An 11,356-nucleotide genomic window follows, 5' to 3' on the forward strand; every position below is an offset into this window, starting at 1 on the left:
AAAAAAAAGGAAAAAGTCTCAATTAATTCCATGAAGGAAAAAAATAAAAAGCATCTTGTATTTTGACGTGTATTTGTTTGCCAGTGGCTAAGCTGAGCAATGAAAAGCTGCACTGGTAAGTCTCAACACTAGAATACAGAGAATAGGAACCTATCAAACATGACTAGAGCTAATTGATCATCTCCACTACGTCAAATTTTTCTACTGCTCTGGATAAATTAATAAAAATGGGATTATCTCTTGCTACTTCTACATTCAATTATTCTTATAACTTCAGCAATTGATTCAGAAAAGCGGTCCTGCAGAGAACATTGTTAATATTAGAAAAAGCACAGCAACGCAGAGAAGGAAATAGCCTTCACTTTTCTTTAATCTCAGTGCTCAGGCTTCTTTCCACTTTTTACCTGAAGCAGCTCCATCACTGACCCCTGCAGCCGATGCTCCAGATCTGAGATGAGCTCTCTCAGGGACTGGGTCTGCTGCACCATCTCAGTTTCAGAGTTCGTAAGGCTTTTCAGAATGTCTTCCTCCTCCTTCTCCAGGTTTTGCAGCTCATTGCTCTCCTCCCAGTCCAGGATGTCTCTCAGTTGCTCAAAATCTGCCAAGACGTTGGTTTTGTCATACTGTATTTGAGTCTTCAGAGATAAGAGAAGAGAAAGGGGCACTCAGTCTACCAGGCAGAGGCTGTTAGCCAGAAAAGGAGCTGTTTCTTTTGGGGAGTTCTCACAAGGAGGGGACATAGTAGCAGGAGAGTAGGTCTTAGGAAAGCTGCCTTTTCCTATTTCTTTTCCTTCATGACATTTTAAAACAATGACCTTGAATGGGTATATTGAGGTTCATCCTGCATCAAAATGGGTTACCTGGATGTAGCTTACCTTTCACACAGCTATGCAGGACACTCATGCCTGCCTGTATTACTTCTCAGCCCAAGCTCAAACTCCCTGCCAAAAGTTGAACACTGAGGACAGAATCATGAGCCATTGCCAAATGTCTTCCCCAAGTAGAGTCACGGACTCAAAAAGTAGCACAAAAATAGAATGCAGGATTCACTAGCCATCCTCACCAGAGAGATCCTTCATGTAAAGAGCTCCCTACTGTGTTCACTGTGACATATTCACTCCTCAGCCACCACACCCCATCAGGGAAAGGATGAAGAGGACTAATCAAATGACTTCTGGACTTATCAAATGTCAGGGAATAAAGAGGAAGAAAGCTCCTTCCCCTGGTCCTGCCCAGATTTCTAGCTAACTCCTTCGGGAACCACATCCTCTTGCCTTCCAGGAAGCTTTCTCTTCTCTGATGTCAGCTTCTAACTCTTCAGCTTCCTGCTGCTTCTGCCTCAGCATCTCCAGAGCTGCCTGGAGCTTCACCTGTGAGAAAGGAATCACACCATAGTCAAGCTATGAGGTTTTCCAGCACCTAGATAGAGTATAAACATGAAATAAATCAGGTTGATCTCAGAAGAAACAAATTTGCAGAAACTGTGAGAATGGCAATGAGAATCCATGACTTGGAAGAAAACTTACATTGGTGAATGTGCTCCCTACATCTCAGGTAATAGACCTCCCCATCTCCTCACCATGAGTAGACTGATTCTTTTTGTCCTAGAAGAAAAAACTAATCCTGCAGCAAGGAAAAAACTTACATCTCAACCCACTCCTGTTACTCTCCTGCTGAAAGGGGTAATCAGAGCTTTTCTTGGACACCAAATCTCTACCCATCTAACCCAAGGTACAAAATATTTACTCCCGGCCAGGAATATATACTCTAGGATTATTCTCCTGTAATTGGGTGAAATGCAAAAAACCATCCTTAAAGCCTCAGAAGTTAAGCATAGCATGAAAAAAATAATCCCGGGTCTCAGGTCTATCATGACAAGGCAGTTAATGTCAAAGGCAAAGTGAAAATTTTCCATCTGGTCCCATTTTCTGCCCTCTCTTCCTTCCATCCCAGTCTCTTACTTGGTACTCCCGGGCAACCTCCTCTGTGAGGAACGTGTGGTGACCACGGTGCTCCTGAGACCGCTCACAAAGCCAGCAAATGACCTTCCCGTCCTCCTGACAGAAGAGTAGAAGTTTCTCTCCATGGCGTGCACAATGATCAACTTTCTGCCCCTCTGGGCTCAACTTGACCTCCCTGAGCTTCTCCACTATGTTGGCTACATGCCGATTAGGCCGTATGTTCTCAGGCTGGTAACTGATCCGGCACACAGGGCAGCTACTCTCTCCTTTGTCTAGCATGGACTTCTTGTGGTTTGCAGTGAGGCATGCTTGGCAGAAGCTGTGGCCGCAGTCCAGGCTCAGGGGTTGTGTCAGGAGTTCCAGGCAGATGGGGCAGGTCACCTCCTCCTTTACATTAACCAGGATTCCAGAAGCCATAGTAGCTATTCCACTGCTCCTGCCTGTCCTGGCTGCTGAGGTTCCTCTTGTTCACAGATCCCTGCATGATTGGGAAGGTTAAAATGGGACCAAGTAAGAAAGGTAGAAATAGAAAGGATATTGATTGTGCACAATTAGAAAATGGGCAAGATGAAAATAATTAAGGACAAAAAAAGGGGAGAAATAAGAAAAGGTGTTTGGTTACCTGGTAATAAGGGCTTTTCATAATCACCTTAAATACTTTACTGCCAGTTCATGTCATATGACAAATTCTGTTCTTATCTGTGCATTGGTTATCATTTTTCTTTACTTTCAATGAATAGAAAACAGACTGAGGTCTTTTCTACCAAGATCTTTGTGTGACCCATCATCTCTCCTGGCTTTTCTTTCCCACGCCAAAACACATCCTCAGTATTAAAATCACCAAACAGCTTATGCCTCAGGGCTTTCACATTTGCTCTTCTCTCAGCATGAAATGTTTCTCTGATGTTAGTACGATTTTATTAAATTCTCTCCTTACATGTTATATTATCAAAAATACCTGCTCTGACTACCTTATGTGCAGTGTAACAAATCTCACCATGCACTGTACGTTTGCAATGATTGCTCTTATTATCAGCAGAGTGAATGACTGTTTCATCAAATGTATAAATAGACATAATAAGTGATTTACAAAAATTATTTATCTTCAGTATGGTGACCTGAGATGACCTCGTATTCAGGGTCCTCTTTCACTGGCCTCTTTGCTACTCTTTTGGTTAATCAATGACAAATGGAGATAACAGCATATATCCAATTAATACCCAGAGCAATTGGGGTGTGGAAGTAGAGGAATCCACAACAGCTGGGAGGTTCTGAGGAGTCTCATCCTGAAAGTTTGCCAAGGACATTTATTGGAGCCTAAAGGTGTAGACATGGTGTAGAGGGTGATGATAGAGAAATACTCAGTGGACCACACATGTTGGATACTTGAAAACTAGAAGCACAGAGGCAGTGGATATCAGTCTTGAGAGAGAAGTCTCAAAATATTAGATGAGATGATTCTGTTCCCGGAACAAACGGAGGGTCGGCTGCTGCTTCTTGCGGCCCAATAACGAGATGCAGATTTACTGGGAAAGAAGCGAATTTTTATTTCTGCGTACAGGGAGAAGGCCTAGAAAATATCTCCAGACCAACTCAAAATTACAAAGTTTTCCAGAGCTTATATACCTTCTAAGCTATACGTCTACGTATAGGTGTGCATTATTCATCTAAAAACATAAGTGATTAACTTCTTCAAATCTATAACTAAGGTCTGAGTTTTAAGACCTTCCTCTGGTGCCTCAGTAAATTTACCTAATCTAGATGGGTCCGGGTGCTGGGGTGATTACCCTTATCTTGTCTCTCCTGCTAAATCATTAAGGTTTGCGGAGTTCCTTCAGACCCTCAATAAACTTGTTTGTGGAGGCCTGGGAGTTCCTTCAGACCCCCATAAAACTTGTTTAATCCTAAACAGGTCCTAATCGATTCCTTCGTTATCTTGTCATGCTTCAAGGCCCAGGAAAGGCCTGGGCAAAACTCTCAGTGGGCTTCTGTTACATTCCAGCCTTTGTATAAGGGCACTGGCTCTATCAGCTTTTAATATTTTTTTTTCTTTTTTGAGACGGAGTCTTGCTCTGTCGCCCAGGCTGGAGTGCAATGGCACAATCTCGGCTCACCACAACCTCTGCCTCCCAGGTTCCAGTGACTCCTCTGCCCCAGCCTCCCGAGCAGCTGGGACCACAGGCACGCACCACCACACCCGGCTAATTTTTGTATTTTTGGTACAGATGGGGTTTCACCATATTGGCCAGTCTGGTCTCCAACTCCTGACCTTGTGATCCACCTGCCTCGGCCTCCTAAAGTGCTGGGATTACAGGCGTGAGCCACCGTGCCCGGCTTCAGCTTTTAATATTTAACTTAACCAGACGGGTGTGGTGGCTCACGCTTGTAATCCTAGTACTTTGGGAGGCCAAGGCAGGCGGATCACCTGAGGCTGGGAGTTCAAGACCAGCCTGGCCAACATGGTGAAATTCTGTCTCTACTAAAAATACAAAATGAGCTGAGCTTGGTGACAGGTGCCTGTAATCCCAGCTACTTGGGTATTCTTTCCACATGCTTCTCCTGCTCTTCGTATCTCACCTAAGCTCTGCTTTTGGGGGGCAGATACGGCCCACGGAGAGGGAGGAGCAAGGTTAATGATTTTTAAGAAAATCCAGTAGTTCCCTGAGTCTGGACTTGGTGCCCTAGTAGAGGCAAACAGATGCTGTCACCAGGGAAGCCCTGATGAAATGACTGGGAAAGTTATTTTTCTTAACGTTTTTCTTTATTCCCTTTATGTATAGACAAAGTTGCTTAAGAAGAAGCCAGACTGCCCAGCATGGTCCAGATCTTGACCCCTGACCAGATCCAAGGGGGAAATTAGACCCCCGAACCAGCGTATATACTGGAACTGACAATCCCTAATTGCCTTTAGATCATTAACATATCACTAGAGTGTTAAGTTACCCCCTCCCCCACACGACACCAAACAAGAAAATCTCCACCATTTTGTGTGCCTGGGTTGTATTGAGAGGTGACAGCATGCTGGCAGTCCTTGCAGCCCTCACTCGCTCTTGGCGCCTCCTCTGCCTGGGCTCCCACTTTGGCGGCACTTGAGGAGCTCTTCAGCCCACCGCTGCACTGTGGGAGCCCCTTTCTGGGCTGGCCAAGGCCGGAGCTGGCTCCCTCAGCTTGCAGGGAGGTGTGGAGGGAGAGGGGCGAGCGGGAACCGGGGCTGCGCGCCGCGCTTGTGGGCCAGCTGGAGTTCCGGGTGGGCGTGGGCTTGGTGGGCCCCGCACTCGGAGTGGCCGGCCGGCCCCGCTGCCCCGGGCAGTGAGCGGCTTAGCACCTGGGCCAGCAGCTGCTGTGCTCAATTTCTCGCCGGGCCTTAGCTGCCTCCCCGCGGGGCAGAGCTCAGGACCTGCAGCCCACCATGCCTGAGCCTCCCCACGACCCCTTGGGCTCCTGTGCTGCGCGAGCGTCCCTGACGAGCACCGCCCCCTGCTCCACGGCGCCCAGTCCCATCACCACCCAAGGGCTGAGGAGTGCAGGTGCGTGGCATGGCACAGGACTGGCAGGCAGCTCCACCTGCGGCCCGGTGCAGGATCCACTGCGTGAAGCCAGTGGGGTTCCTGAGTCTGGTGGGGACTTGCAGAACCTTTATGTTTAGCTAAGGGATTGTAAATGCACCAATCAGCACCCTGTGTCTAGCTCAGGGTTTGTGAATGCACCAATCGACACTCTATATCTAGCTACTCTGGTGGGGACTTGGAGAAACTTTATGTCTAGCGAAGGGATTGTAAATACACCAATCGGCACTCTGTATCTAGCTCAAGGTTTGTAAACACACCAATCAGCACCCTGTGTCTAGCTCGGGGTTTGTGAATGCACCAATCGACACTCTGTATCTAGCTACTCTGGTGGGGATGTGGAGAATCTTTGTGTCTACACTCTGTATCTAGCTAATCTAGTGGGGACTGGAGAACTTTTGTGTCTAGCTCAGGGATTGTAAATGCACCAATCAGTGCCCTGTCAAAACAGACCACTCGGCTCTCTGTAAAATGGACCAATCAGGAGGATGTGGGTGGGGCCAGATAAGAGAATAAAAGCAGGCTGCCTGAGCCAGCAGTGGCAACCTGCGCTGGTCCCCTTCCACACTATGGACGCTTTGTTATTTTCCTCTTTGCAATAAATCTTAATACTGCTCACTCTTTGGGTCCACACTGCCTTTATGAGCTGTAACACTCACCGCGAAGGTCTGCAGCTTCCCTCCTGAGCCAGCGAGACCACGAACCCACCAGAAAGAAGAAACTCTGAACACATCCGAACATCAGAAGGAAGAAACTCCGGACATGCCGCCTTTAAGAACTGTAACACTCACTGCAAGCGTCCGCGGCTTCATTCTTGAAGTCAGTGAGACCAAGAACCCACCAATTCCGGACACAGTATGAAGACATGTGTTTATAAACAGAGGTGGCACAACTGGAGTTCCACCCTATAGGCTAACACTCCTTTCTCTCCCCGTACTCAGTTCTTTTAAAGCCAATGCTTTCCACTGTTTTGGGGGAGGGGGCTTTAGAGAAGGAGCTCTCTTACTCTCCACTCCTAGCAAGAAATAAAACCTGCTTGCCTTTTTTCCCATTATCTTTGTAACCAATATGAACTAGGGAAAGAACTCCATTTACAGTGACAATGACAGGACTACAGAACTGGACAGCTGTCACACCATGAAGGCTGATGTCACAGAGCCAGGCCAAGGTGATGAGAACTGACCTGTAGAGTTATGCAGAAACACTACATTAGTAAACTAATAGGCATTAAATCATTAGGATTCCAAGGCCCCTGTCTTTGCCCTTGTTGTTGGGAGAAGACACTGAAAGAGAGAATTCTGGCTCTCTACAGCAAAGTTCAATTAAAAAGTATAGAGTAGGGAGGGGATGGGGAGAGAGTCAGCATGGAAAAATAACCAGCCTTCGGGAAACAAAGCCCTTCACTTTAAAGCTCTCCCTTCTTTCAAATCTGCCTGCCCGCCAGGCGGCTCTGTTCCCCTCAGTCAGCTCTGGCAGCAAGAAGTCTGTGAACTGTGTCTTTTCCCCACCCCCGCACAGCTTTTCAGATAAGTTAAACTCACCAAGGTAAATACAGTTTTGTCCCAAAGACTTCCTACTTCTGCCCTCCACAAAATCACTCAATACACCTTCAGACACCAGTGCAGAAGTGGTGATTCTGGGGAGAAGAGTGAAGACAGGCCAGGGAAGACGTGGTTAGGATTCACTCACCAATCCACGGGCCTGATCTGCACAAAGGAATTTTCCTAGAGGAACCGCAGGAAATTCTTGCTCACACTCAGGGCAGGAAAGTGAAAGATAAACTATGGGCCAATGGCATTTCTCCACGTAGGGCCTGGTGAGTCCCGCCCTCTGAATGAATCAGCCGGGCCGTGTAGCTGTGCTGTTCACAGGAGGAGCCGTGGGAACTAGAGGCATTCCCACTCAATCTCCCTTTTCTCTTGAGTCTCAGGATCTTGTTATCATGCCACTTCTTCTGACATAGTTTCAGATTAACCCAGCCAAGTATTAAAAATTAGAAAAGGTGCCCTTTTTCGAAATTCTTCCAATGTGCTCCTCTTGCTCCTGATCTCACAGCTGAGTTCTGCTTCTGGGTGACAGATATGGCCCAAAGAGAAGGAAGAACAAAGTTAATGATTTTTAGAGAATTGCAGTAGATTTCTGGTCTGGACTTAAAAATCTTATAGGACCTATGAACAGAAAAGGAGCTGCAGGTAGGAGAGATGTCATATTATTAAGACTCCGAAACCCAGAGAGGACAGGATGCTAGAAATTTATCTGGAGAGGGCCGGGCGCGGTGGCTCACGCCTGTAATGCCAGCACTTTGGGAGGCTGAGGCGGGCGGATCACAACGTCAGGAGATCGAGACCATCCTGGCTAACACGGTGAAAACCCATCTCTAATAAAATAAAATAAAATAAAATAAAATAAAAAATTAGCCGGGCATGGTGGCGGGTGCCTGTGGTCCCAGCTATTCCGGAGGCTGAGGCAGCAAAATGGCGTGAACCCGGGAGGCGGAGCTTGCAGTGAGCAGAGATCGCGCCACTGCACTCCAGCCTGGGCGACAGAGTGAGACTCCGTCTCAAAAAAAAAAAAAAAAAAAAAAAAAAAAAGAAGTTTATCTGGAGAGCGATAAAGAAATACCACATTATTTCTTTCAACTATTCACTTTCAAAGAACTCTCCAACTTCCCGCTGTTGTCTTTTCCAAAGTATCTATTGCATCCCTGAGCAGGGCCAGGCCTTCCTCTCTCTTCTCTTCTGGTTACTATGCAAAACTGGTCCAAAAGGCTGAACTGTGGTCCATGTACCATAGCCTCCCTTCTAAGCTTTCCCTTACTGGAACATCTCAGGAAGTCCACACTGGAACTAGGATCATTGGTAGAGAGGAGTATTTAGTTTGAAAATGAAAATGCCTCAGGAGAAGGCAATGGGGAGCACTGCAGTGGGCAGCCTGTTATCACTTAATTCCATCATCAGTAACCTCATACCCCCTCCACACTGTACCCCCGCAGCTTTCTGTTTCATGAAATCAGGTAGGGGGCTTTTGCATTTTGTTCTTTATTGTCTCAGATTTACTAGAATATGGTGTATATAAGGAGTAATATTTAAATAGATATGAAGATATATAGCTATTAATCTAATTTTAATTGAATATCTTGATGTCACATTTCTGTTCTATTCTTGCTGTAAAGATAACTGCTGTGTCACCTAGTTTAATTCAAATATTCTTCTGGCATTAGTAATAATTATGTGGCAGTAATAATTATAGTAATAATTATAATAATTAGTATTATTAATAATTACAATTATTAATAGTTACAATTATAATTAATATTACTAATTGTTATTTAGTAATAATTATGTGGCATTAGTAATAATTATGTAATGATTACATTTGCAGTGGCTCACACCTGTAATCCTCGCACTTCGGGAGACCAAGGCGGGTGGATCACTTGAGGTCAGGAATTTGAGACCAGCCTGACCAACATGGTGAAACCTCATCTCTACGAAAAATACAAAAATTAGCCAGGTGTAATGGCAGATGCCTGTAATCCCAGCTACTCAGGAGGGTGAGGAAGGAGAATTGCGTGAACCCGGGAGGTGGAGGTTGAAGTGAGCCGAGATCATGCCACTGCACTCCAGCCTGGGCAATAGAGTGAGACTCTGTCTCAAAAAAAAAAAAAAAAAAAAAAAAAAAAAAAAAAAAAAAAAGTAATTATGTAAATTTTTAAACAAATTTTAAACGATTTTTTAAAATATCCTCTCTGTTTTCTTCCTAAGTATTATTCAGACTCTAACCATATTTACTCTTATTTTGCTCTTTTTCTTGAAGAGAAAAATGTTAAATATCCATGGACCCAAAGGTAGAGATATTTCATTTGATTCCTTTTCAAGCAGGAAAGCAGGATATATAAGGTTTACAGGCTGGGCGCGGTGGCTCACGCCTGTAATCCCAGCACTTTGGGAGGCCAAGGTGGGTGGATCATGAGGTCAGGAGATTGAGACCATCCTGGCTAACAAGGTGAAACCCCGTCTCTACTAAAAATACAAAAAATTAGCCAGGCGCGGTGGCGGGCGCCTGTAGTCCCAGCTACTCGGGAGGCTGAGGCAGGAGAATGGCGTGAACCCGGGAAGCGGAGCTTGCAGTGAGCCGAGATCGCACCACTGCAGTCCGCAGTCCGGCCTGGGCGACAGAGCGAGACTCCGTCTCAAAAAAAAAAAAAAAAAAAAGGGTTTACAGAGAAAACACAGAGCTCCAACAATAATATATTTTTTCTACAATTTAGAACATAGGTTAGAATATGGAGCCTGCCAACATGCTCTACTCTGGTGATAAACTGTGTGTGGTGCATTCAGTTTTTCTATTGGCCCACGTTTTCTGGTATCTTGTCAGGACCTAATATTACTACTGTTTTCTCTCAGCTGCAATTAATACTTCATGAGATAAATCAGACCAGGATGAAAGTTCACTTCAGATGTTCAAAGCCAGACGAGAATAAAAGGATGGCTATGAGATCTATGGAAGTGCTGAGAAGGGAAGAAATAATGGACAGAGAACAGGTCTCTGGATAAATGAGTTCATTCACTTTGTCCATTGTGGTTGACACTCGGACTCCACTCTGTGCACTCCAGAAAAAACACATTCACTCACTGAGCGCTCACTCCCCTACAAATGTCAACAAGATATTCTATTCAAACATGGAATATACCTAAAATTACATCTCTTGCTTATTTATCTTCAAGAAGAAATAAGAAAATTTCACGCCTGTCTTAGTCAAGGTTCATCATAGCAATAGAACCACTAAACTATGAATTTATTTGGAAAGAAACTTGAGAAATGTCTCAGGTGATTCTGGAGACTGGCAAATCCAAAGTCTGCAAGGTAGGCCAAGAGGCTCTGGATCCAAGAAGGAGTCAACGTTATAGCTCACGCCTGAGGTTTGCCTGCTGGTAATATTCCCTCTTCTCGGGGAGAAGTCAGTTTTTTCTTCTATTCTGGCTTTCAGCTGATTGAATAAGGTCCTCATAGATATAAGTGAGTAGGAAAGAATTTATAGCCAGGATTAGCTTATTATTCTGTGAGCAACAAATAATACCAAAATATCTATTATTGAAATAATAAACATTGATTTCTCAGTCATCCTACATGTGTATCATTGATTAAAGTATGAAGATGGCCATGCTCCATAGTGTCAGTCAGGGATCCATGTTATGGAAGCTCCATGAGTTGCCTTTTTTTTTCTTTTTTTTTGGGTGTGTGTGTGTATGTGTTGTGTGGTGTTTGTTTGTTTGTTTTTTGTAGAGACAGGGTCTTACTATGTCACCCAGGCTGCAGTGCTATGGTGCAATGACGCAATCTTGGCTCAATGCAACCTCCACCTCCTGGGCTCAAGCCATCCTCCCATCTCAGTTTCCTGAGTAGCTGGGACTACAGGTGCACATCACCACACCCAGCTATTTTTTTTTTTTTAATTTTTCTTAGAGATGGGATTTCACCATGTTGCCCAGGCTGGTGTTGAAGTCCTGGACTCAAGTGATCCACCCACCTGGGCCTCCCAGAGTGCTGGGATTACAGGCATGAGACACCACAGGCCTCCATCAGTTTTTGATGGCATTATCTGGCACATGCAGTTAAACAAGAATACAATAGACAACAGGGTACAGAAGTATGTGCATGACGTATAACATGTTTCAGTGCTGCTTTTTAATTGATTGTGTAAAAATGACCAAACTTTTCTTAGAGAAGCAGGGAAAAGTGGAAAAATTATGAAGGCATGAGAGTAACTCAATGAATGATTATAATTAAACAGCATCATCTGTTAACTTCCATGTTCTCACCTGCCTCAGT

At 45.0% G+C, this 11,356-nt stretch overlaps 1 protein-coding gene across 19 annotated transcripts in view, besides 2 other annotated features; it reads right to left on the bottom strand.

The window, feature by feature from the left end:
- The window catches only part of TRIM5 (tripartite motif containing 5), a 96,440-nt gene extending 89,165 nt beyond the window's left edge, over positions 1-7,275 (bottom strand). For 11 of the 19 annotated variants that reach the window (XR_007062519.1, XR_001748014.3, XR_007062520.1 and 8 more), the window contains exons 1-4: positions 7,069-7,275; positions 1,962-2,439; positions 1,275-1,370; positions 405-635 (exon numbers count right to left, since the gene is read on the bottom strand). Coding sequence is in view for 12 of the 19 variants with exons in the window: in XM_047427784.1 (XP_047283740.1) it covers positions 405-635; positions 1,275-1,370; positions 1,962-2,378 (744 nt within the window). In the remaining 7 variants the exon portion in view is untranslated. The remainder of the gene's footprint in view (positions 1-404; positions 636-1,274; positions 1,371-1,961; positions 2,440-7,068) is intronic. The other 8 variants (XR_007062522.1, XR_007062518.1, XR_007062521.1 and 5 more) reach the window with 1 other exon arrangement.
- Positions 1,002-2,201: an enhancer, noted in NCBI's record as "BRD4-independent group 4 enhancer chr11:5700031-5701230 (GRCh37/hg19 assembly coordinates)". NCBI's record gives its function as "activates an origin of replication core promoter dependent on BRD2, P300/CBP, MED14 and CDK7 cofactors, and independent of BRD4, by STARR-seq in HCT116 cells {active_cell/tissue: HCT116}" and the evidence as "EXISTENCE:reporter gene assay evidence [ECO:0000049][PMID:35650434]".
- Positions 7,033-7,282: an enhancer, noted in NCBI's record as "active region_4331". NCBI's record gives its function as "activates an Ori minimal core promoter by ATAC-STARR-seq in GM12878 lymphoblastoid cells {active_cell/tissue: GM12878}" and the evidence as "EXISTENCE:reporter gene assay evidence [ECO:0000049][PMID:35858748]".

This window comes from Homo sapiens, chromosome 11 (genome assembly GCF_000001405.40).
Source record: "Homo sapiens chromosome 11, GRCh38.p14 Primary Assembly".
NCBI classification, from domain to species: Eukaryota; Metazoa; Chordata; class Mammalia; order Primates; family Hominidae; genus Homo; species Homo sapiens.